This window comes from Homo sapiens, chromosome 6, assembly GCF_000001405.40.
Source record: "Homo sapiens chromosome 6, GRCh38.p14 Primary Assembly".
NCBI lineage: Eukaryota > Metazoa > Chordata > Mammalia > Primates > Hominidae > Homo > Homo sapiens.
In genome coordinates, this window is record NC_000006.12 from 80,002,709 (window position 1) to 80,025,973 (window position 23,265).

Here is a 23,265-nt window from a genome sequence, read left to right on the forward strand (position 1 = left end):
AATTACTTTAAATAGTTTAAAAATAATCCCATTAGATATCAGTTTTCAAATTTAAATATAAATTTAATTAATCAATTAAGGTTAATTGATTTAAAAATTCAGTTCCCAGTTGCACTAGACATACTCAAGTGCTCAATAGTCACAGACCATCACAAGGACTTTTGATTTTATTCCGAGCTAGAAAGGGAGCACTGAAGGGTTTTGAGCAAAGTAGTGACATAATCTGATTTAAGATGACTTTGCTATGTCAGAGAATAAATTGAGGTGAGGCAAGGGCAGAAGCAGGGAGACCAGCCAGGAGGCTACTGCAGGTAACATCAGTTAAGTGATGCAGATGCCTTGGACTGAAGTGGTGGCAGTGGAGGTGGGGAGAACTGGTAGGAGTCCAGGAATCTCTTGTGCCAGCCCTGACTCAATCTGCTTATGAGTTAGATAAGGGATCAGGGATGACACAAAGGTTTTGGGGCTAAAAAATTTAAGACAATGAATTTGTCTTTTATAGATTTTGTAAAAAAAACAGGTTTGGGTAGGAAGATCAGGGGCTTGGTTTTGGACATTTTGAGTTCAAGATGCGTATGAGACATGTAAGTGAAGATGTTAATAAGTAGGCAGTGGATATCTGAGTATGGAGTTGAGGAGAGCTCAGCTAATGATACACATTTGGGAGCCATCAACATATAGATGGTATTTAAAAATAGAAGACTGAAGGAGACCACCAAACGAGAGTACAGAAAGAAGTGTTAGGGTGAGGTCATCCAGCAACAGTATTTTAAGGAAAATGCAAGCTTTGTGATCAGGCCGCAAACAGATCAACGAGAATTGGAGGAATAATAAACTCTTTCCAGGCAGAAGCATTAGATGCAATGGTGCAAAGGTAAGTGATTAGCCAACCATGGTATAGCAAGTCATTTTGCTCTGCTGAAGCAGAAATACTAGCTAGCTGACACAGAAAGATGCATTAAGTGATTGAGAAGGGCTCTCACGCTAGCTGGGTGGCTATCCAGAGCTGGGAATGTGAGGGTTCTAAGGATAGCTTTGGAGTTAACAAGTGACAGCTGCAGTTAGTTTCCTATACATACACAAAACCAACCCGTCCTACCACAGAATATATGTCATAATGCTGGCACAACAGACACATCCCTTTTAGTTTTGCAGACGAGGAGTAACCGTTGCCCTGGACCACAAAGCCACTTAGCGGCAGAGCCTCGCACCCGCGAAGATTATTACTAGGGAGATGTTTTTACCCCTGAGGACACCTGAGCCCTTAAGTGGGGCAGGCTTCGAGGGAGGGGGGCCGATAAGGCGACTTCAGACAGGGCAATCACGATGGGCGCTTGAGTTCTGCGCAGAATTTTGACAAGGGGGAGGGTCTTGGCTTGAAGACAGAGCGTGGAGTCATTTAAGGATAATGGAAGGGCATAAGCAGAAGCTCAAGGATAAAAAGCACTGAAATTCTTGAGCTGGCGGCAGGGCTGAACGTAGCTCAGTGAAAGATCCTTTCTTGCCACATCCTCTCTAAGCCAGGCTGTGAGAACCGCGGGAAACGAAGGAGAAGGGTGGCGGTGGGGTCAGTAAAGGGCCGGCCCAAGGTGCATCTTTTAGGTCCTGATGCTAGGAGCAGCCGTCCCTGCCCCTATATTCCTCTCACTGGGTAGGTTTGCTCGGGAGTGGCTACCTCCCAGGCAAAAATTCGGCCTGGTTAAACTGGAAAGACCAGGAAAGCCCGCCCACGGGCGTCCGGGGAACGCCTGCAAAGTGCCAGCACCCTACCAACCCAGGCGCCGCACGGGTGGGGTCGCGGCCGCAGGCTCTTCCGGGGCGGGCCTAGCCTGACGCAGGAGGAGGGGCGGCCCCCGTCGCACAAGAACCAATCACGACTGTCGCTTCTACGTGGCTAGCATTGACCAATAGGAGACCGTAGTGATAGCGACGGGGAAATTCAAACGTGTTTGCGGAAAGGAGTTTGGGTTCCATCTTTTCATTTCCCCAGCGCAGCTTTCTGTAGGTAAGTTCTGTCTTACCGGTGCACCGGCGCACTGAGGAACAGCCGCAGCCGGTGTAGGGGCTCATTGTTAGCGCTGGTCGGTGAGGGGTGGGGCGAGGTGGGGGCAGCTCGGAGCCAGGTATGCGACGCGGCTAAACGAGCTGGAGGGGGAGGGGATGTCTCACTGCCTCAGCGGGTCTGGCCGGTGGGGTGATGCAGGAGGTTTTGTTGAGGAAGTAAGAAGTGGGTGTGGCCCACGCTGGAAAGAAGGGGTGGTGGGGTACCTGCGCACAAGATCGTTTTCCAAAGGACAGTCTCTCTTGTTTTGGGGGTTAGAACTGGGAAAGAAGCGGGTGGCCGTGATCTGACAGTTATCTTTCAAACCTGACTTAAGAGGTGGAGTGATACCTTGCTGCAACTTTATGACTTTTTTTCATTGTTAAACCTGAAGACGGGGCAGCATTGTTATCAGTGACACTGAGTTGGTGTTTGAGAGTCACAAAGATACGATTAACAATAAGACTGCAGACACTTTATTGAACAAACACCACCACCATGCAGATAAGCAAGTGCTCAGTACCAGTACAATAGTTTCTTAGTGTTAGATTAAGGTAGCAAATCGTGATTCTGCTAGATATGCACAAGAATAAATCTGCGGATTTCCTAATTATCAGTAAAGCCCCATCATGTTTATATTCTGCTTTGAAAGCACTTGCACTGGAAGATTTACTCAAGTAAAGCAGGCGAATAAAGGAATTGTTATTCCCATTGCCAAACGAATTCTTTATGTCTATGTCACTACCAGAATCCAAGCAATCTTTATGTGTATGTCGCTACCAAAATCCAAGCAAACACTCTATCATATTTTTTTTAAGTGACACTAAATTTGCAGATTTCTACAGTGTGACGTCATTGATGTTATATTGGGGGAAAAAGTATACTTGGCCTATGAAACCTTGGTGAATAAATTACAAAGATGTGTACCTTGTTGTTGTGCACTTACCTCCATTAATACTAGCCTAATAATAGCTGCATTTAGATGTGTTCACAAAACGAATGCTTTAGTCGTCTGGGTTCTAAAAAGCTAGTGCATTTTTTTCTTTGATGCTAGTTAAAGTAGGAGTTATGACTGTTCAGTTTTTTTCTTAGAAATGGAATCCGAGGATTTAAGTGGCAGAGAATTGACAATTGATTCCATAATGAACAAAGTGAGAGACATTAAAAATAAGTTTAAAAATGAAGACCTTACTGATGAACTAAGCTTGAATAAAATTTCTGCTGATACTACAGGTGAGTTTTTCTTTTCTTTTAAGTTAGTAACTGTTTGTTGGGTATCCTCTAAGGTAAAGATATAGTACTAATCACTTTATTTATAATTTACTCATGTGTTTATTGTCTTTCTCCTCCATTAGAATGCAGGCTACATGATGGCAGGGTTTTTGTCTGTTATATCCACAGAACTTTGAATGGTGTCTGGCACATGGTAGGTAGGCACTTAAACATTTATTGAACAATGATTAATGGGTGAAAATGCCCAGAGTTTAATACTCTAGCTCTTCTAAAAGTATTAGCTCAGAAGCCTGATTCTTTACTGTATTTCAAATGGTTGGTCATTTGAATGGTGACCTTTGGATAATTTTCTTACATCTATACTAACCTTTAAATAGATGAGGAATTGAAAATAAATGGAAGAACCTGTGATCTAATCATGGTGGCTGACTGTTCACTTTGAAAAAACCTAGAAAATGATAGTTTTAGTGTTAAGCAAAATCTTAATGGAGTATAATTGTGCTTAATTATGTCACTAACAAAGGTTGTACATCAAGGCAATTGAGTATTTTAAGTACTGAGGAAGATTCAAAGATGCTTAAAACCATAGTTTCTTTCTAGATGAGAATTTATATATTCACTATGCTACATTGTAATGCATGCTGGGCATCATAGGAATACTAGCATGATAAAACACAAATGTTTTATTTGTTGATTAGAGGAAGAATAGGGTACTCAGGCATGAGGAATGCATCTGCAAAGCCACAGATGGCAATGTGTGTTTTTTAGACATTTCACAGACTAATTTCTTAGGAAAGCAATAGGAGGTAAAAATAGAAAATTAAGGTCAGACCAAATTAAATTTAAAACGACAAAGCAAAGTTATGCATGCACTATATTTTAGTAGAAAGTAGAAACAAATTTTATTTATAAAAGTAAAGATGTAGGCTTTGTTGAAAGTGACTGAAGTTAATAGAAGGAATAATAGCTTCTCTGGAAATCTGAATTTAATATTGCTTAGTAATAACCAAAATATCCTGAACAGAAGACTGACATTCAAGTTATCTTTTTAAAAAACTAACACTGAAGAAAGTAAAAAGTACATTTCAGTGTGAACATTTTGTCTGAAGGTTATTCTTGCTGTTTCTGTTGGTTGGGGTTCCACAGAGAGAAACCTGACAGTCACAAGAGGTCCTATAAATTCCAAAGGTCTAGACCACGGTAACTATGAGTTTGTTGGACCAAGAAATTATCAGGGCCTCTAGCAGAAATTTAGGTTACTTGGAGAGAAGAAAATGATTGTCTCATTTGTTTATTTTTTGTAAAGCTGGTTTGGTTTTACAAGTAAGTATGAGGTATACAGAGATAATGTTGAATGGTTAAGGTTGTAAAGAAGGTTATGTTAGGACTGGAGCAGTAGGTTTAATGAATAAATCATTGATGGGAGAATTTTCTAAGTTAATTAGTACAAGTGGCAGTGGGAGAGATTTAGTTTTCTATGGATAGGTAGGATGCTAAAATTATAGTTATCCTGCAACAGCATAAAATTTTCTTAAACTACATACAATTTTTAAAGGCTACTTACAAAAAAACTCACTTATTTCCAAATGTTTTCTTTCCTTCAAAATATATAGCTTTTGGATAAAGTATACCTTCATAAAAGATAAATACACGATAAATAAGTTACTTGTATTTATATGAACTTTTACAATTTTAAAAAGTATTATAAGGACTTTATGTACATTGATACTGACAGTACAAATGTTTGACTATATTTTGAAGGAAAAATGCAATTTGGCATTTGTTTTATGTCTTTTCTTGTGATATATTTTGTTCCCCTTATTTAGATAACTCGGGAACTGTTAACCAAATTATGATGATGGCAAACAACCCAGAGGACTGGTTGAGTTTGTTGCTCAAACTAGAGAAAAACAGTGTTCCGCTAAGTGATGCTCTTTTAAATAAATTGATTGGTCGTTACAGTCAAGCAATTGAAGCGCTTCCCCCAGATAAATATGGCCAAAATGAGAGTTTTGCTAGAATTCAAGTGAGATTTGCTGAATTAAAAGCGTAAGTATTAGCATTTTAACTATGTTCAACTATGTTACATAATATGTAACTACACTGCAAAGAGAGAAAATAAAAAACATGGCAGTATTGTGAGAAAATATTAATTTTTTTACCAAATACTTTTGCTTATAGTTAACAAGAGACTAATGTAAACTCTTTTCTATGCACGTTTCCACAACAGTTTACTTATTTTAAACTGCCTAAAAAGATTTTTTTAAAATAACTTATTAGTATTTAATTTTACCCACAGAAAAAAGCAATATCCCATGTTTTTTGGAAAATTGAATGAAGCATTATCAAATTTAAGTAGCTATGTTCTTTTTCTTAAATTTTGACTCAAATCTTTTATTACAGTATTCAAGAGCCAGATGATGCACGTGACTACTTTCAAATGGCCAGAGCAAACTGCAAGAAATTTGCTTTTGTTCATATATCTTTTGCACAATTTGAACTGTCACAAGGTAATCTGAAAATGTCAAATTCAAATTTTAAGTAAAGGATAACTTATTACAACTTACTTCCTAATATTAAATCATATATATGAAGTGGAAATTTGAGGCAAAAGACATTAAAGTTGATCAGATGAGAATATGGGGAGAAAATGCCACCTAAATGTAAATGCAGAGAATATCTGTTATACTAGCTTTTCCATGTATAAAGAGTAATCCAGGGAAATGAGCATGAACATTGTGTATGTGCTACTAGTTAGATTCAGGAAACATCTAAAGGAAAGTAGCTGCTTCACTGAGTATTTGTAGGAAGAAGGATATCAGATATTTAAGCTAGAGCTTTAAATATCTAGAGCTTACATAAACTTTTCTTATGCTATGGTTTCATAGCACCAAAATGTACATTAAAGTGTAGCTATGTAACTTGGTGGTCAAGTAAACTATATATCTGTGTGTGTGTGTGTGTGTGTGTGTGTGTGTGTGTGTGTAGCGTTAATTGGTAGTTCTTTAAAATAAAAAAGTAAACTGCTGTAGAAACTATTTCTTGCTCACTTGGTTCTTCATAGTCTGGATTTTTTTGGGTAGGACCAAGACAATCTCTTCCTAAGACATTTTTAACCTGGCCATTCCTTAGTCTTTTCTCATTTTCCAGGGCCTTTGGATACACCCTCAGTCTGCCCTCTGGCCAGGTGTTTCCATTCTCCCACTGCCTTGTTTCTGCTACAACTGTGATCCAATTTACTGCCAGTGATAAACATATTAACACTATTGGAAGAATCCCCATGATGGTTTCCATAGCAGGGATTGGTCACTGGAGAGTATTCCCCAGGATTGAGCCTGGAGAAAATAATTATATGACTCAGAAATAATTTGAGAACCCTGAATTGTTACCCATTCAGATGATTTCTGAGTCCTAGTAATTGTCTTCTCCAATATGTCCTTTGCTCTATCAGGTTACTTTTTAGAACTATTATCCCTTTCTTCTCTAGAAAAATGGATTCCTCCTTGCTTGTTAGAGAAAATTTGGCAAGGCTTCTTTCTCTCCATTCTGCTTGAAAATTTCTTGAGGTATTGTGGCCTCTCAATAACAACCATAAATTTTACATGTTTAGAACATGTAAATATTGAAACTCTTAAATTGAGTTATCTGTAAAAAAGACGAACTTTATCTATACCACTTTATCTGCAATGTGGTAGTAATGCACAGTGATGCAATGTGGTCAAATGCATTGCACAGTAATGCAGTGTGGTCAAATTATGATTATTTTGAGCACAGTTGATGGCTTGGCTGTCAGGAAATAATGCAGCATCCCTGAAGTCCTATGCAGAGTCTGGTGTGTGAGTATTTTTATAGGGATGGAGGACATTTCAGTTTTTACCAGATTCTTAAAGAAATCTCTGATCTCAATACTAAGCTATCTGATTAATTAAGCTTCTTAAGCCTTTCTCTCTTTTCTTGTGCTAAAATACACAATACATGAAATTCTACCACTACTTAGTAAATGTAGATGTAAGCACTATCAAAGATATTTTTAAAAATTTATAAACTACCAGAAGCTAGAGATCATCTCTTAAGCATTTTTATACGCTAAGTACCAAGTGCATAGCATAGCTCAATGGCTCCCATAAATGTTGATAATATTCTGTAAGATATGTGATGTATACATTTAATATTTATATGTCAAATGCTAGGGGTAAGTTTACCAATTTTTTTGGTAATCTGTCCATACTCAGAAAGGTAATTATGATAGTTCCTCAGTTATTCTGCATTCTTTTTCAGGCTGGTATAGCTGAGTGTGACAGCTAAAGATTAATCTGTATTTATTATGTTTTTCCCCGAAAATCCTTTTGATGGAAGATGCTCTTTAACAAAAGATGTCATCCTTCCCTTAACTAAATGTCATTATGAATGATACTTATTATAGCATGTTGTAAGAGACTGATGCTCTTGGCACTTTTGTAACATCTAGAATGCCCTCCTGTTTCTAACTGTTGTGATTGGCCTTTGCTGTCCCCTGTTGGTAACTGCTTTGTTACACTTCTGTTACTTCTGAAAGTGGACAGTGGTGATAAACTAATGCAAAATTACGTCAGCTACATATTGCAAGGAAACTATTTGGTATGCATTGTTATCAGAAGAGAGTTGGTTATCTGCATAAAAAGTGAGAGATTGCTTACTTGCCTATGAAATAAAATACATGAGCCTTGGAATAAATATTTTTGCTTAAGTCTTTTTGATTTTTTTTTCTAGGTCCTGATGAATACGTATCTGGGTGGTCTGGGTGGTGGGCATTTTACTGCCTAAAAATGACAATTATCTTTTGCTTTGTTAGGTAATGTCAAAAAAAGTAAACAACTTCTTCAAAAAGCTGTAGAACGTGGAGCAGTACCACTAGAAATGCTGGAAATTGCCCTGCGGAATTTAAACCTCCAAAAAAAGCAGCTGCTTTCAGAGGAGGAAAAGAAGAATTTATCAGGTAACTATTAAGGTATACTAATACTTTCTGTGGTAGGTAGTACTTCAAATAAAGATTCGGGATAATAATTTATAGAAAAATATTATTTATGTAGAATGGTTAAAATCTAAGATTAAATTGTAAAGGAGGTAAGACTGAGAAGTAAAAAAGTCTCTACAACCCCATGCAAATTTGTCTTTTTTGCTAACTAAACTTTCGTTAACACATGAAAAACAACTCTAAGCAAGAGAATTTTTTTTTTTTTGCTTTTGGAAATAGAGAATGTGCTTTTACCCTGGGGAAATAGTTATATAATTTAAGAGAATTTGAAGAAGTAGTTAGATAATTATCTTGGTATCATCTTCATGTCTGCATATCTTACTTGGGGACAAGTATTTCCTATGAATTGACTTTTAAAATATTCTTATTTGTAAGATCACTTTTTTGTACTTGTCTTATTTCTTATAAATTTAATCATAGTTTCAAAATTTTTACAGCATCTACGGTATTAACTGCCCAAGAATCATTTTCCGGTTCACTTGGGCATTTACAGAATAGGAACAACAGTTGTGATTCCAGAGGACAGACTACTAAAGCCAGGTTTTTATATGGGTAAGGAAACGGAAACAGTTTTTAAATGTTCATCTTCTATGTAAGTACATCTGTGTTTTTTAATGTAATTACATGTATCTGCATATATGTTTTCATGTGTGTGATAATGTTTAGCAGTAGAGTAGAAATACATATTAATATTGTTCTTTGAAAAATTGGGGGTATTTTCTTTCTGTTTAGAGAGAACATGCCACCACAAGATGCAGAAATAGGTTACCGGAATTCATTGAGACAAACTAACAAAACTAAACAGGTAAGTTACTTTCAATCTGCTTGATTAAGGTGGTGATAGTCTTTATTTCCTAGTTGGTTATTTAATCTTTCAAAATATTTTTAGTCATGCCCATTTGGAAGAGTCCCAGTTAACCTTCTAAATAGCCCAGATTGTGATGTGAAGACAGATGATTCAGTTGTACCTTGTTTTATGAAAAGGTATGTTGAGTTTTAATTTTTAAAATTTGTTGTCCGTATGGGAAGATTAATGGCAGAATGGTCTTAAAGTCTTTTACTGAGTAATAGTAATTATGATTAAATTTTTATTCAGTTTTAGAAGATAATCTCTAAATGTTGTCAGGAACAAAGGAATGAGTGGAGAAAATAACTTTGTTTTGCTTTTTCACTCATTAAAAATATTCATTAAAGGAGCTTTAAAAGGAAAAAATATTAAGTCAACATTAAGCTTAAAAGACTGATATTTGAGGATTTGTCACTTACGGGTAGGCTGTCTGCTAAGAATCTCTTCCTGTTTTGTTTGAGAGTCTCCATAACGGGTAGAAGGAGGTCTGGGAACAAATATTTGCTCCAGATAGTTCAAGGGGAGAATCGCTGTCAGTGGGATAGATGATTATTCTTTTGCTTGAGTCTAGTGCTTCAAGAAGTGGGACAGGTTAGGTACAGATGAATTACTGTTCATCACATCCAGTGTGTTCTCCTTCCCTCAATTTGCTTGTTTATTCCCTGTTAAGAAATGGGAATGTAGCCTGTAGCTCAGCTAAAGGAGAGTTATTTTGGCCTATTCTTAATTCTGACCAACATTTGTAATATTTATATTGGAAAAGGCTCCTTACAGTCCAGAGAATCATTTTGCAAATAAACTTTAGAAATACGATTGTTTTTCATTACTATCTTTTATAATTACATTTCTATTATATTTAGACTTGACTAAATATTGACATTAAAAGAACATTTTGTTTGTCAAGGTTAAGCTTTAAAGTCTTATCACTATGATTTCATCTTGTTCATCTCTATTTCAAATACCTAGCTCAAGAATAAAGGAGATTTTCTTCCGCTCCAAAAAATTAAAAACAAAAACAGAAAAACTGCAGCCATTTTCTTGGTTCCTGTTATCGATAGACAATGCTAGGTACTGTGGAGGTCCACAGAAGTGCTATACCCTGGTTCTTATCCTTTAGCTATTTGTAATTGGAAATGTAGTTTCATCTGTATACTTTGCCTTTCCCACAGTCTAACCCTAACTCCAATTGTTACTGATTAGATAATGAAGAAGTAGGCGATCACCTGTGTCACTTTTGTCATTGCCCAGCACGTAATTTTGTTAGCTAAGTCACTTTTGTATTGGAATTATGTCACTCTAAAAAATGTCTTTTTAAGAGATTTTTTTCAATAAAAAGTATGTATATTATTAAAAATCCAACTTGAGATGAAAAAATACATTGAAAATTTTTTTTTTCAAATTTAATGTTAAAATTATTTTGTTTCACGGGTAAAAGACAAACCTCTAGATCAGAATGCCGAGATTTGGTTGTGCCTGGATCTAAACCAAGTGGAAATGATTCCTGTGAATTAAGAAATTTAAAGGTATTTTAATTCTATATCATTATATAAAGCAAGGGTTCCTGATCTGGGAGGATCAGTATTCATGGAGCTTTTTCTGGGGAAAGGGTTTATAAATAGTTCATGTATCTCCAACAGTGTTCCACATACCCCAAGAGCTGTGGGACTACGAGTGGGAAGTTGGTGCAGAAGTCCTAGACTATGTTTCTCCAAGATTAAGGTGGTAGAGCAAGGATCAACAATCTTTTAAGAGAATCATGAAGTAATATTTATTATGCACGTGTTTAAGCAGATAGTTGGCCTGGGTTTGGGAATACGTGACTGGGGGAACTGTTGCCCCCAAGTTTTGTTTTTTGTTATGTTTAATCATATGATTTTGGTAAGACATCTTAAAAAAAAATGAGAGAGTAAATTGAGTTAGGGCAGAGGTGAGGACATAAATAATCCTGACCTCCTGACATGGCAGAGCAACTTTGTGTGGACTTAAAGGAAATAATTTTAGTTCCTGGTACACTGTGATTTTTAGTGGTTATACTATTATTATAATTGAGTTAAACCCCTGGCATCATGATGTGGGTCTTTTCAATTTTATGTTCTTTGTAATGCCTCCCTCTTTCATGACCTATGCTTTAAGTATTAATTTTTCCTAATCCTGGCTGTCCTAGAGAACAGTGCATAATTGTGTCAAAAAGATTGTTCTCTGGATTTAGAGTAACTACTCTCTTAAGTTATGCAGTTACTAGTTTTGACTTATTTTTGGTGATAAAATAGCCATCACAGTAACAAAATACTTAAATCTTTTTTCTTGTCATGAGGCATACTCTATGTTGAATTCAAACTTTCTAACCCTTTCCATCTTTAAGTGAAATATATTTTAGCAATTGATTAATACATCCACTGAAAGCAAATTGGCCAGATTTATGGTTATGACCCTTCCCATTTCTCTAATTAATAATTCAGGCAGTTAACCTTTGCTGGGGGTTTGTGAGTCTACATATAATTATAATAGAAAATTTTATGAGCAATCCATGTATAGATAAGACTTTAGTATATTGAACAGTAAGACAGATTAGTAGTACTACTATTTATGGGACTTTATTTGATTTTCTTTTTCATGTAGTCTGTTCAAAATAGTCATTTCAAGGAACCTCTGGTGTCAGATGAAAAGAGTTCTGAACTTATTATTACTGATTCAATAACCCTGAAGAATAAAACGGAATCAAGTCTTCTAGCTAAATTAGAAGGTAAGAGTAACAAAATCAGTAGACTTGTATGTTTAGTTAAGAAAACCACTTGATAGCTTAAGAAAGCAGACTAGCCACCTAAGAATTATGATGTGAAACTGTGTCTATGTTCTTTTATCTTGAATTTCCGTTCAGTTATATAGGGTATATGAAAAGTACTGAATCCGCAGCAAAGGAAATTTATTTACCTAAAAGGTGCATAAAAGAAAGAGTGGAGGGAAAATGCAATGGAACTGAGTTTTTTTTCTCAGTTGGCTTGACAAATACTTTCTGGAAGGGATACAAAAGCTGTTTTTATATGACAGCTCTCATCTTTTATCAAGCGTTTGGTTTTCTACTGCATGGGTACTGTGATACATGTTCTAGGGATATATAAGTGGATAAAACAGTGTCCCAAGGAGGTTGCAGTTCAGTGTGGAAGATACACAGAGATATATAAATGCAATGCTGAATAGAATGTGGAGATTGTCATGAGAGCCACATAAATGAAATGCTATGAGAATTCAGAAGAGGGAGAAATTAAGGAACTAATTTGGTTTAGGAGAAATAAGGAAATATTTTGTGATGATGGTGAAGTTTGAAGAAACAAATTAGGATTTAAATGGGAAATAATAGAGTATTTCAGATGAAGAGGATAACACAGACAACGAGTAAAATGTTTCAGGAACAAGAGACTGTCTAGTTATGCTGCAGACTGTAACATGGGTAGTGTGCAAATAGGAAATAAGACTAGGCGGACTTTGAATGCTATTAGATTTTTTATTTATTTTTAGAATGCAGGGTACCATTAAAGATATTTAAACAGATCATTAATAGGATGATCATTGTCCAGATAGAGGTTGCCAGATTGGATGTATTAATTTTTAATTTGTTTTAATAGGACTGAGGAGGGACTTTGGGACAAAGTGAGGCTTGCCTTTGCCAGGGACTTTGCTGAAAGTCCAATATCCCAAGAATGCCTCAGTCCCAGGCAAACGGGGACACACACAAAAAAACATTATTTTGGTTGGGAACAGATTCTTATTCCTAGCGTTTGGTGGAAAGTGTTTACATTTCATATTTTCTTGGCATCTATTGTAACTGGTATGATTGAGAAAATCATCTTTATCAAATATGCTTGTTAATAGTACTCTCAATACCTAATTTAATGTTTTAAATGAATGCTTGTTGTCTACACTATACCAGTAATACTTTATTAATATAATAAAGCATATAGTCAGAACACTGCCCAAATCACAAGAGTGCTGCACAATGAAATAACACAAGTGACTGCATACTTGTAACCAATAGCCAGATCAAAAAATACAACATTACTAACACCTCAATAACCTCCTTGATCCTCCTCCTAAATACCTCTCTCCTTCCAGATGTAATCATTATTCTGATTTCTAACACCACAGAATGAAATAATACAGTGTGTATTCTTGTATTTGCTTACTCACTGTTGTTTATGGAACTCATCCATGTTTTTATGATATATAGTCTGTTGATTTTTATTGCCGTATACTATTTAACTAGTGTAAATATAGTATAATTTGTTTATTCACATGTACATGGATAACAGTTTTTTGTCTAATGAATAATGCTGCTATGAATATTTTGGTGTCTTTTGATTCACATATGTACAAATTTCTATTGAGTGTATTCCAAGAGTGGGATTGTTGGGTTACAGGATATGCATGTGTTCAGCTTTGGAAGATGGTGCCAAACAGTCTGAAAAGTGGTTGTGCTAACCTTAGACCAGCAATTATGTTGCTCCTGCTCCTGTTCTTTGCAATCATTGTATTGGCTTTTAATTTTAGGCATTCTGATGCTATCTAGTGGTATCTACCTCGTTGTGGTTTTAATTTGCATTTTGCATTTCCTTAATGTCTACTTTTGAACATCATTTCATATATTTATTGGCCATGTGGATACTCTCTTGTAACATACTGCAACTCTGTCACCCAGGTTGCAGTCTTGCTAATATTTCTGTTGGTTTTTCTTTCTTTTTCTCATTGATTTTTAAGAGGTATTTATATGATCTAGATATAAATCATTTGTTGGAATATGTGTTTGTAAGGGAAAACGCATAATTATTTTTCTTTCCCTTTTTAGTTTCTTAGCTGAGACACTCTCCTGAAAATGCAAGAACGATTAACAATAGAAAAACAAGCAGAAGTTTGTTAACATGTGCTCTACCCATCACCTGGGCGGGTTCAGTTCAGAAGTATTTCTTTCTCTCCAAGCAGTGGATTTGCTTAAATGGTATTTTAACAAAGAGCCATAAATCTTAAATATTGGCAAGACAAAGGAGAGAACAGTTCCAATCTTTAAAAGCAGGAAAATGTGGAAAACTAGTAAAATCTATTTCCAGATTCCTCTGGTGCCTGCTAGTGCTTTCTGGGCCAAAAAGCAAGTGTTGTCTCCAGTAAGGAAAGATTTATATCCTGCCATCAGGCAAGATATTTCCATATTTTTTAGATTTATCATTTTACTTTTCACCTTCTGATTTATATCTTTCCTGAGTTTAATGTTTACATATGTGTAAGATCAAGTGTCAGGGTTCATTATTTTTCCCCATAATGGATATCCAGGTGACCTGGCACCATTTATTGAAAAGATCCTCCTTTACCTCACTGACCTGTTGTAAATTAGGTGATTCTATGTATGGTGTCTGGCTTTGGATTCTTTTCTGTTCTATATTCATTTTTGTCTTTTTCTTTTTTTGAGACAGGGTCTTGCTCTGTCACCCAGATTGCAGTGCAGTGGTGCAATCACAGCTCATTGCAACCTCCGCCTCCTGGGCACAAGTGATCCTTCTACCTCAGCCTCCTAAGTAGCTGGGACTTCTAGGCATGTGCCACCATGCCCGGCTAATTTTTAGTTTTTTTGTAGAGATGGAGTCTTGCTATGTTGCCCAGGCTGGTCTCAAACTCCTGAGTTCAAGCAATCTGCCCACCTCAGCTTCCCAAAGTGCTGGGATTACAAGTGTGAGCTATCACACCAGGCCTAATGCTCTCTTAGTAGCTGCACTAAGTCTTGATATCTGTCAGTGTAAATTTTTCAACTTTGTTGAAAATTCACGACTATTTTGGCTATTCCTGGCCTTTGGATTTCCATATAAACACTAGAATCTATCTTTTGGTTACCACTTTTAAAACATGGGATTGTGATTGATATTTAACTGAACCTATAAAGAAATTTGGGAGAAACTGACATCTTTACAATTAAGTTTTACAGCTCAATAACCTAGCATATCTTTTCATTCATTTAAAGTAATGAGATAATTATTTTCTGTGTAGAGACCTAGTGTATCTTTTGCTAGGTTTATTCTTGAATATTTTTTTAATGCTGATCAGATATTCTTGATATTTTTTGATGCTGTGATAGTGAATGGTATCTTTTTAAAAACCTTTTCTAGCCTGAGCAACAAAGGGAAACCTTGTCTACAGAAAAGTTAGCTGGGTGTGGTGGTATGTACCTGTGGTCCCAGCTATGCAGGAGGCTGAGGTGAAAGGATCACTTGAGCCCAGGAGGTCGAGACTGCAATGAGCCATGATCACATGATCATGCCACTGCACTCCAGCCTGGGTGACAGAAGAAGACCTTGTCTCAAAAAAAAAAAACTTTGTTGTTAGTTTATAAAAAATATAATTGATTTTTACTTATTTATGCATTGCTAAATTTACTGAGTAATTCTAATAGTTTTCCATGCATTTTTTGGATTTTTACAGGTACACAGTTATGTTTGAAAATAGTATAGCTGGCCGGGCACGGTGGCTCACACCTGTAATCCCAGCACTTTGGGAGGCCGAGGCAGGCAGATTGCCTGAGGTCAGGAGTTCGAAACTAGCCTGGCCAGTGTGGTGAAACCCCATCTCTGCTAAAAATACAAAAAAAAAAAAATTAGCCGGGTGTGGTGGCAGGTGCCTGTAATCCCAGCTAATCGGGAAGCTGAGGCAGGAGAATCGCTTGAACCTGGGAGGCGGAAGTTGCAGTGAGCTGAGATCCTGCCATTACACTCCAGCAGCCTGGGCAATAGAGCGAGACTCCGTCTCAAAAAAAAAAAAAAAAAAAAAATATAGCTTTTTTCCTTTTGAATCCTTTTAACTTTCTTTTCTATGCCTTGTTATAATTGCTATGACCTCCAGTATAACAGTGAATAGAAAGGGATGATAGGTGCCATTCTTGTCTCATTCCTTATTTTAAGGGAAAGCTGTCAATATTTTATCCTTAGTATGATCATTACTGTAGAGTTTTGTCCCTACTTTTTGTCAGATTGAGTAAGTTCTGTTTTATACTGAGGCTACTAATAATAGTTTTTTTTGTGTGACTGGGTGTTGAATTTTATCAGATGTTTTTTCTGCATCTATTTAGTTAATTATATATTTTCCGTCTCTATTCTGTTATTATGGCAAATTACATTGACTTTCAAATGTTAATCAAACTTTGCATTTAGGAATAAGCCCAATTTGGATATAATTTTTTATCTCCTTTGTCTATCAATTGCTAATATTTCGTTTAGGACTTTTGTATCCATTATAATGAAAGGAGTGGAACTGTGTATTTGTAGAATGTTAAATATATTGTTGAGGCGTTTTGTTTATAGACCCTTTGAGAGAATAAATTACAAACTAGCATAAGGTGAAATTTTTATGTTAAACTAGAGGTCTTGTAACTGACTTAAGTCCGGCTGCTTGCTACTCAGAGGCAAAAAAGACAAGAAATGAGGTGTGATGAAAGGAAAGCAATTTTATTAACCAAATGCTAGCAGTTGGAGAATGCCCAGGCTCTTACTTTCAAAAGACTATTCTGTAATTTCTGAAACATGCTTTCCCATAAGATAATTTTTTCTTAATTGGAAATGACCCAGACATCTCATAAGCATCAATTATTTAATTCAAAATAATTTGAAAGTCCACTACAGGCATTTATCTCATTTACATGCCCTGAGCTTTTTCCATTTTTAAGTTTTTCTAGATTACTTCTGAAAACTGAAATGTTATACAAAGCTAGTCATTATTTGAAGTTGTTTCCCTGTTAACCATTTTTACAGTCTGAGTAACAGGTAAACAACCTAAGTAAGAATCTTAGAGTTAAATATATTTTGCCGATAACTCAGAAGATTGAGCTGTTTTCATTGAACCACCAATCTAAATTAAATTAGTCTTACTTGTCAAAAAAAATCACACAAAGATTAGTCTGTTTTTGACTGTGTTTATAGTCTTATAACCTTGATGTCAAACCCTGACATCTTAATATATAGACATAGACAAATATAAAACCATTTGGTCAATAAACTCAGACAAAAATGTATGCTGATAATTCTAAAGACATTTTATTTTTATTAATAATTTTAAAATCACTTTTATTTACCAAAGATTCATATGAACTTGAAAAGCATTAGGACTTACTTAATTTATGAGTACTCATTTACTTATAAGCCAATTTGGTAGCATGCTAGATTCAACATATACATGTATGTACATATAAACATGTCTAAACATGTATACATACAGGCACAAAGATCCAATAGCTTTTACCTCAGAATCTAGCCATAAGATGACAATACAAACTCACCACTTTATAAAAGACAGCTGATCCTAATTATTTTTCTGATGAAATTGGAACCTGTTCACATGGCTAAACCTTGTTTGCCCTGATAGGTAATCTAAGGAAAGCTGTCAACCAAAATTTGGGTAAAAAAGTCTCTATGGCAATTTCGTTTTAAAAACCTCTTTTATCCTTTTTTTCCCCTTTTTTCTTCAGTTTCAAATGAGTTACTAATGATTCTGTTATAATCATAACTGGCTGACCTGTATAAGAAAAATAAAAAAACAAAATCTCCAAGTGAGATAAAACAGTGAGTTTTATCTCAACTCAACTAGCTTAATAACAGCACATTCAAAGCAGGCAGAAAAGAAAAGAGAAAATAGAGAGCTAGCTTTAGAAGACTGTTTAATTTTGTAGTTAAAGATTAACCATTTGAGCTCTGAATTTTTCTTACTGGAATTTGCCCATAGTTTTAAAATGTGCAGAAAAACGGGCCATAATGTGTAACCAGCTGGAGTCCCAGATAGTCCAGGAAAGAGCTCACATGCTTTCTCCCCTAACAAAGCTTGACGCAGATACAAGAAATATTCTGGAGTCCAAAAGAGGATGACAAAAATCAGAGGCCAGGTTGTTGGAAACCATTTCTTCCCTAGCGGGGAGAGGAGCAGCCTATCTTGCTGCTTTCTAGTCTTGCTGGGCGGGACGGAGACAGTTTCAAAGCACCCTTGGAAAGAGGGATAACGCTAAACAGAGACACAAATACAGGCGGATCCAATGCAGATGGAGCATTCCAAACCCATCCCCAAGAAGGGGAGACTGGAGAAAAGTCCTGAGATCTTGTCTCAAATCCAGACAGCACTGCAGAGTGACCTGCATTGGGTCCAGATGGCAAAGAGACCCAAATGGCACCACAGATGACCTATACTAGGTCCAGATAACTAGAAAGTGCAGATGGCTAAGATGGAGGATTTCCCAGTACACTCTGGTTAATTTATCCAACCCTTGAATTCTGTTGACCTCCAAGATGCCACTTCCCTTTCACTAACTGAGTGTTACAGCAGCTGATGCCACAAAGGGAAGGGAAGGAAAAATCCTTCAGACAAGGGTGGTCTCCCTAGCTGCTGGGAGTTCCTTAAGGTCCCAGCTGCAGGGTCAGCTAGCCATGAGCAGCTGGCATTTGCAAGTGGCTCCTGCGTTGGCCTGGTAGCCTGAGTGGGTGAGCCTTGGCCTGCTCCCACAGCCAATTGCTCCACTTGTTGGAAACCAGGCGTACAGGCTGAGCCCCTCAAAACACACAGTTCCTCACACAGGGCACCACATTTGTAACTGACTCAAGTCCGGCTCTTCACAACACAGAGGCCAAAAACATGAGAAGTGAGGTGTGGTGGAAGGAAAACAGTTTTATTAATCAAATGCTAGCAGCTGGGGACTGGCCAGGCTCATGCCCTCAAAAGACCATTTCAACTTTTTGGGCTGAGTGAAGGGGTTTAAAAAGGAAAAGGTGTGGAAGAGATGCAGGAGTGGTGCAGGTCTGAATGTCTTGTTGTGATAGTTATATTGAGTAATTGCCCATCTGGAGGTATGGTTTGTGTCATCTTGACTTCAGCTGGGTAATGCTAGGCTAACTGTTCGAAACTCCCCCCATGCAAGAGGAGTCTGCAACTCCATCTCTGCTTGGTTTGTTTCAAAACTGGCCCCTGAAATTTCTAAGCAAGTACGTAATTAGATAAGTGAACACTGTTCATGGACATGCCTGGTGGGAAAGGGAGAAACTAAGGGTTTCAAAGTATGCTTCCAGGCTGAAAGCAAAAAGGAAAAAAAAATGTTCTAAATTGCATTTTGAGGGTTGGATACTCGGTCTATGAAAAGTGATGAATTAGCTTCTCTATTAGTAAGACTTTATAACATCTATATGTTTTTAAATTTTTACTTATTTATTGGTAAAGAAGCATTTAAATGTGGCAAGGTCTCTGACAAAGTTCTTAGTAACAATGTAGGAAGATGACTATAGTGCAACTTTGTGAAATTGACTTGCTAAAAGCAAATTGTTAAGCAGCTGGCTTAAAGCTTTTAGTTTCTCTCCCTCCTTGATTGTTTTTAAGAACTAAATACTCATATAGTTTGTAATATGTTCTGTTGTTTAGGCTTAGTTTATTATGATCAAATATTCTTGCTTTTTAATGACAACAAATACAATTTCAGAAACTAAAGAGTATCAAGAACCAGAGGTTCCAGAGAGTAACCAGAAACAGTGGCAATCTAAGAGAAAGTCAGAGTGTATTAACCAGAATCCTGCTGCATCTTCAAATCACTGGCAGATTCCGGAGTTAGCCCGAAAAGTTAATACAGAGGTAACTTTTCCACTAAAGTACAATATTGCTTTTTTGTTCATAATGCATTTCCGAAGGTTGATGATCATATTAAATGTTTTCTTTTATTAAATGTGTATGATATTTAGTAGAATAGTTTATTTAAAGGTTTTTAAAATCATTTATAAAGTGGTGATCAGTAGCAGTCATACGTTCAGTAAGTCAGGCTAAATTATTTTCTATCTTCGATAGTGTTTCTAGATTGCCGATAGACTGGTGCTATGGGCCAAATCTAGTTCTTAGCCTGATTGTGTAAATAAAGACTTACTGGAACACTGACACACTCATTCATTTAATGTCTATGGCTGCTTTTGCATTATAAGAGCAGAGTTGATTAGTTGTATTAGAGACCACTTGGCCTGCAAAGTTTAAAATGTTTACTATCTGGTCCTTTACCGAAAACTGTATGCTGATCTCTGAACTAGCGCAGTGCTGTCCCAAGCACTTAACAGTTTCCTGTGGTCATACTCATTGATAAAAATAGAAAAATATAGCCTAGACAACGTACATGAATTTGTAACATACTGAGTCATCATTCCTGGTGGCTTTTCGGAAGGAATGATCAAGTAGGATACTAAAGAGCTATAGCTGCAGTTCATGGCCATAGTTTCCTTACCATTTCTTTTCAGTGACTTGTAGTAAATATAGTAAAGGCTTTATTAATTCAGTGGTTCTCAAACATTTGGCCTTTTATACTCTTAATTATCAGTGCCCCTAAAGAGCTTTTGTTTATGTTGATTATATCTATCTCTATTTACTATATTAGGAAGTAAAGCCAAGAAACTTTAAAAATGTTTATTAATTTATTAAAAATAACTGAGGGCTGGGCACGATGGCTCACGCCTGTAATCCCAGCACTTTGGGAGGCCAAGGCGGGCAGATCACGAGGTCAGGAGATCGAGACCATCTTGGCTAACATGGTGAAACCCTGTCTCTACTAAAAATACAAAAAATTAGCCGGGTGTGGTGGTGGGCGCCTGTAGTCCCAGCTACTTGGGAGGCTGAGGCAGGAGAATGGTGTGAACCCAGGAGGCGGAGCTTGCAGTGAGCAGATATCATGCCACTGCACTCCGGCCTGGGTGACAGAGCGAGACTCTGTCTCAAAAAAAATAAAATGAAATAAAATAACTGATAAACTCATGTGAATATAAATGTACTTTTATGAAAAATATGTATTTTCTGAAACAAAATAACTACAGTGGGAAGAGTAGCACTGTGTTAGAGTTTTTACAAATCTAATGATTGGCTTAACAGAAGACTAGATTCTTATGTCTGCTTTTGCATTCAATGTATTTCATTATTACATGTCATACAGTCTCTGGAAAACTCCTTATATACTCATGAGAAAATAAAAGTGAGAAAGGTAAATATTGTCATAGTAAGATCTCTTAAGTAGTAGATGTAGATAACAAATGCTAGATGATAAGGATCCTGATAGGTTGAGTCATAGATTGTATCAAACCAGCATCTCCTCTTTTTTTTCTATTTGAAAATTGTACACTAATAGGATTGTAAGGGAACTGAAAACCATATGGATCATTAAAGAAATGCAAAGCAAAACCATAATTAGATACTACTTCACACCCACTAGGACGGCTGTAATTCAAGAGACAATAACAAGTGTTGGCAAGGATGTGGAGAATTTTAGAACCTTCATATGCTGCTAGTGGGAATGTAAAATGGTGCAGTCATTTTGGATAAGAGTCTGGGAGTTCTTCAAAAGGTTAAACGTAGCTTTATATGATCCAATAATTCCACTCCTAGGTTTGTAGTTAAGAGAATTGAAAACATACATCCACACAAATATTTGTACATAAATATTCATAGCAGCATTTTCATAATTGCCAAAAAGTGGAAATAACAAAATATCCAACCGATGAATGGATAAAGAAAATGTGGTACATCCATACAATGGAATGTTAATCAACAATAAACAGTAATGAAGTACTAGTACATGTTACAACATAAGTGAACATTTACAACGTGCTAAGTGAAAGAAGCTCACCACAAAAGCCCATATATTTTATGATCCCATTTAGATAAAATGGTCAGAATAGGCAAATCCATAGAGGTGGAAAGTAGATTAGTGGTTGCCAGGGGCTGGGAGCAGTGGGGAGTGGGGAGTGATTGCTAATGGGTGTGAGTTTTCTTTTTAGAAGACGAAAATATTCTAAAATTGGATTGTGGTGATGGTTGCACAGCTGTGAACCACTGAGCAACTAAAAACCATTGAATAGTACACGTAGAAAGAAAAAGTATAGAATCTAGGCAGTTTCTTGTGGATACTGCTTGTCCAGCAGTCCCTTCAAGGGAGGATTGTTTTTGTCTCACATCTCACTTACCATATGGCTGTGTGCTCTCTGTTCTGTGTCCAGACCATTTCTTCCTCTTTCTTGCAAAAGGCCTGCTCTTTTGATACTTCTGACTTACTCTCATCTCTGAATGTCCTGGTAACTCCCCATCATTCCTTGAAGATACAAGGCTCTGGATCAACCAGATCCCAACAACTGTCATTGTTTTTGTTGGCTTCTACACCCCTGTGTATTACCAGTCCTACAGCTGGCCTTCATTTTTCTAACTTCTTCGTGTCTCATGACCATTTCCTTAATTTTACTTTAGCCACCTACTCCTTATATCCTCAATTCTGACCTCCAAAATCGCAGATGCTAACATTCCACTCTATGATCGTGATCTTTTTCATTTTCCTTGTTCATTAATCTTATTACAGCAGTTCCTCAGTAACATCTTTACCACTAATCTTAAAATATGTGCGTGCTTGTACGTGAGCACAGACACACGAAGTCTTAAATGAGAGGGAAAATTTATCCTGGAAAAAAAATTTCTTGGCCAAGACTGAAATGTAGAAAGTAGGATAGATTTAGTCATTGTAATTCTCAAGTGCGTAATGAGGACCAGTGTGTTGAAATTATAATAGATAAACCAATATAATCCAAATTATCTGCAAATATTTTCTAATAACTAAAGCTGTCCTGAAATTGAAGTGAACCTCTGTAGACTAGTGAGTGCTTAGTTACTAAAAGTATTCAAGCAAAACTTGGTTCTCTATTTAATTGAGATGTGCTACAGCAGGGGTTAGCAAACTTTATGTAAAGGGTTAGCAGGCTTTCCAGGCTAGATGGGCTCTGTTGTAGCTTTTCACCTCTGCCATTAGAGCATGAAAATAAAAGCCATAGACAATATGTAAACAAATTGGCATAGCCATATTCTAATAAAACTTTGTTTACAAAAATAGGCAGGCAGCAGGCCACATTCAGCCTGAGCCTGTAGGCTGTAATTTGCTGATTTCTGCTGCAGCGGATGTTCCTTCATCATTGTTTGGGGTTTGTATAGGATGAATCCTATAGGTTCTTTTTTTTTTTTTTTTCCCAACAATGCTTTTGGAAAAAGAATTTCTACAGGTTCTGTCTCTTCTTATGGAGGACACAAGATAGGCATTTGTCATTCCACATTTTGCTAAGTAAT

The 23,265-nt window shown here is 36.6% G+C and overlaps 1 protein-coding gene across 5 annotated transcripts in view, besides 2 other annotated features; it reads left to right on the forward strand.

The window, feature by feature from the left end:
* Positions 978 to 1,852: an enhancer, noted in NCBI's record as "H3K27ac hESC enhancer chr6:80713403-80714277 (GRCh37/hg19 assembly coordinates)". NCBI's record gives its function as "activates a minimal SCP1, AML or CMV promoter by ChIP-STARR-seq in naive H9 embryonic stem cells {active_cell/tissue: H9 hESC(naive)}" and the evidence as "EXISTENCE:reporter gene assay evidence [ECO:0000049][PMID:30033119]".
* Positions 1,423 to 1,542: an enhancer, noted in NCBI's record as "active region_24772". NCBI's record gives its function as "activates an Ori minimal core promoter by ATAC-STARR-seq in GM12878 lymphoblastoid cells {active_cell/tissue: GM12878}" and the evidence as "EXISTENCE:reporter gene assay evidence [ECO:0000049][PMID:35858748]".
* The window catches only part of TTK (TTK protein kinase), a 37,879-nt gene continuing 16,554 nt past the window's right edge, over positions 1,941 to 23,265 (forward strand). For 2 of the 5 annotated variants that reach the window (NM_001438341.1, NM_001166691.2), the window contains exons 1-11: positions 1,941 to 2,005; positions 3,122 to 3,274; positions 5,101 to 5,323; positions 5,678 to 5,784; positions 8,106 to 8,249; positions 8,726 to 8,840; positions 9,021 to 9,093; positions 9,178 to 9,272; positions 10,571 to 10,658; positions 11,755 to 11,878; positions 19,616 to 19,764. In NM_001438341.1, the coding sequence (NP_001425270.1) occupies positions 3,136 to 3,274; positions 5,101 to 5,323; positions 5,678 to 5,784; positions 8,106 to 8,249; positions 8,726 to 8,840; positions 9,021 to 9,093; positions 9,178 to 9,272; positions 10,571 to 10,658; positions 11,755 to 11,878; positions 19,616 to 19,764 (1,257 nt within the window). In that variant the 5' untranslated portion in view covers positions 1,941 to 2,005; positions 3,122 to 3,135. Of the gene's footprint in view, positions 2,006 to 3,121; positions 3,275 to 3,396; positions 3,468 to 5,100; positions 5,324 to 5,677; positions 5,785 to 8,105; positions 8,250 to 8,725; positions 8,841 to 9,020; positions 9,094 to 9,177; positions 9,273 to 10,570; positions 10,659 to 11,754; positions 11,879 to 19,615; positions 19,765 to 23,265 lie in introns of those variants that run through there. The other 3 variants (NM_003318.5, NM_001437890.1, XM_017011242.3) reach the window with 2 other exon arrangements.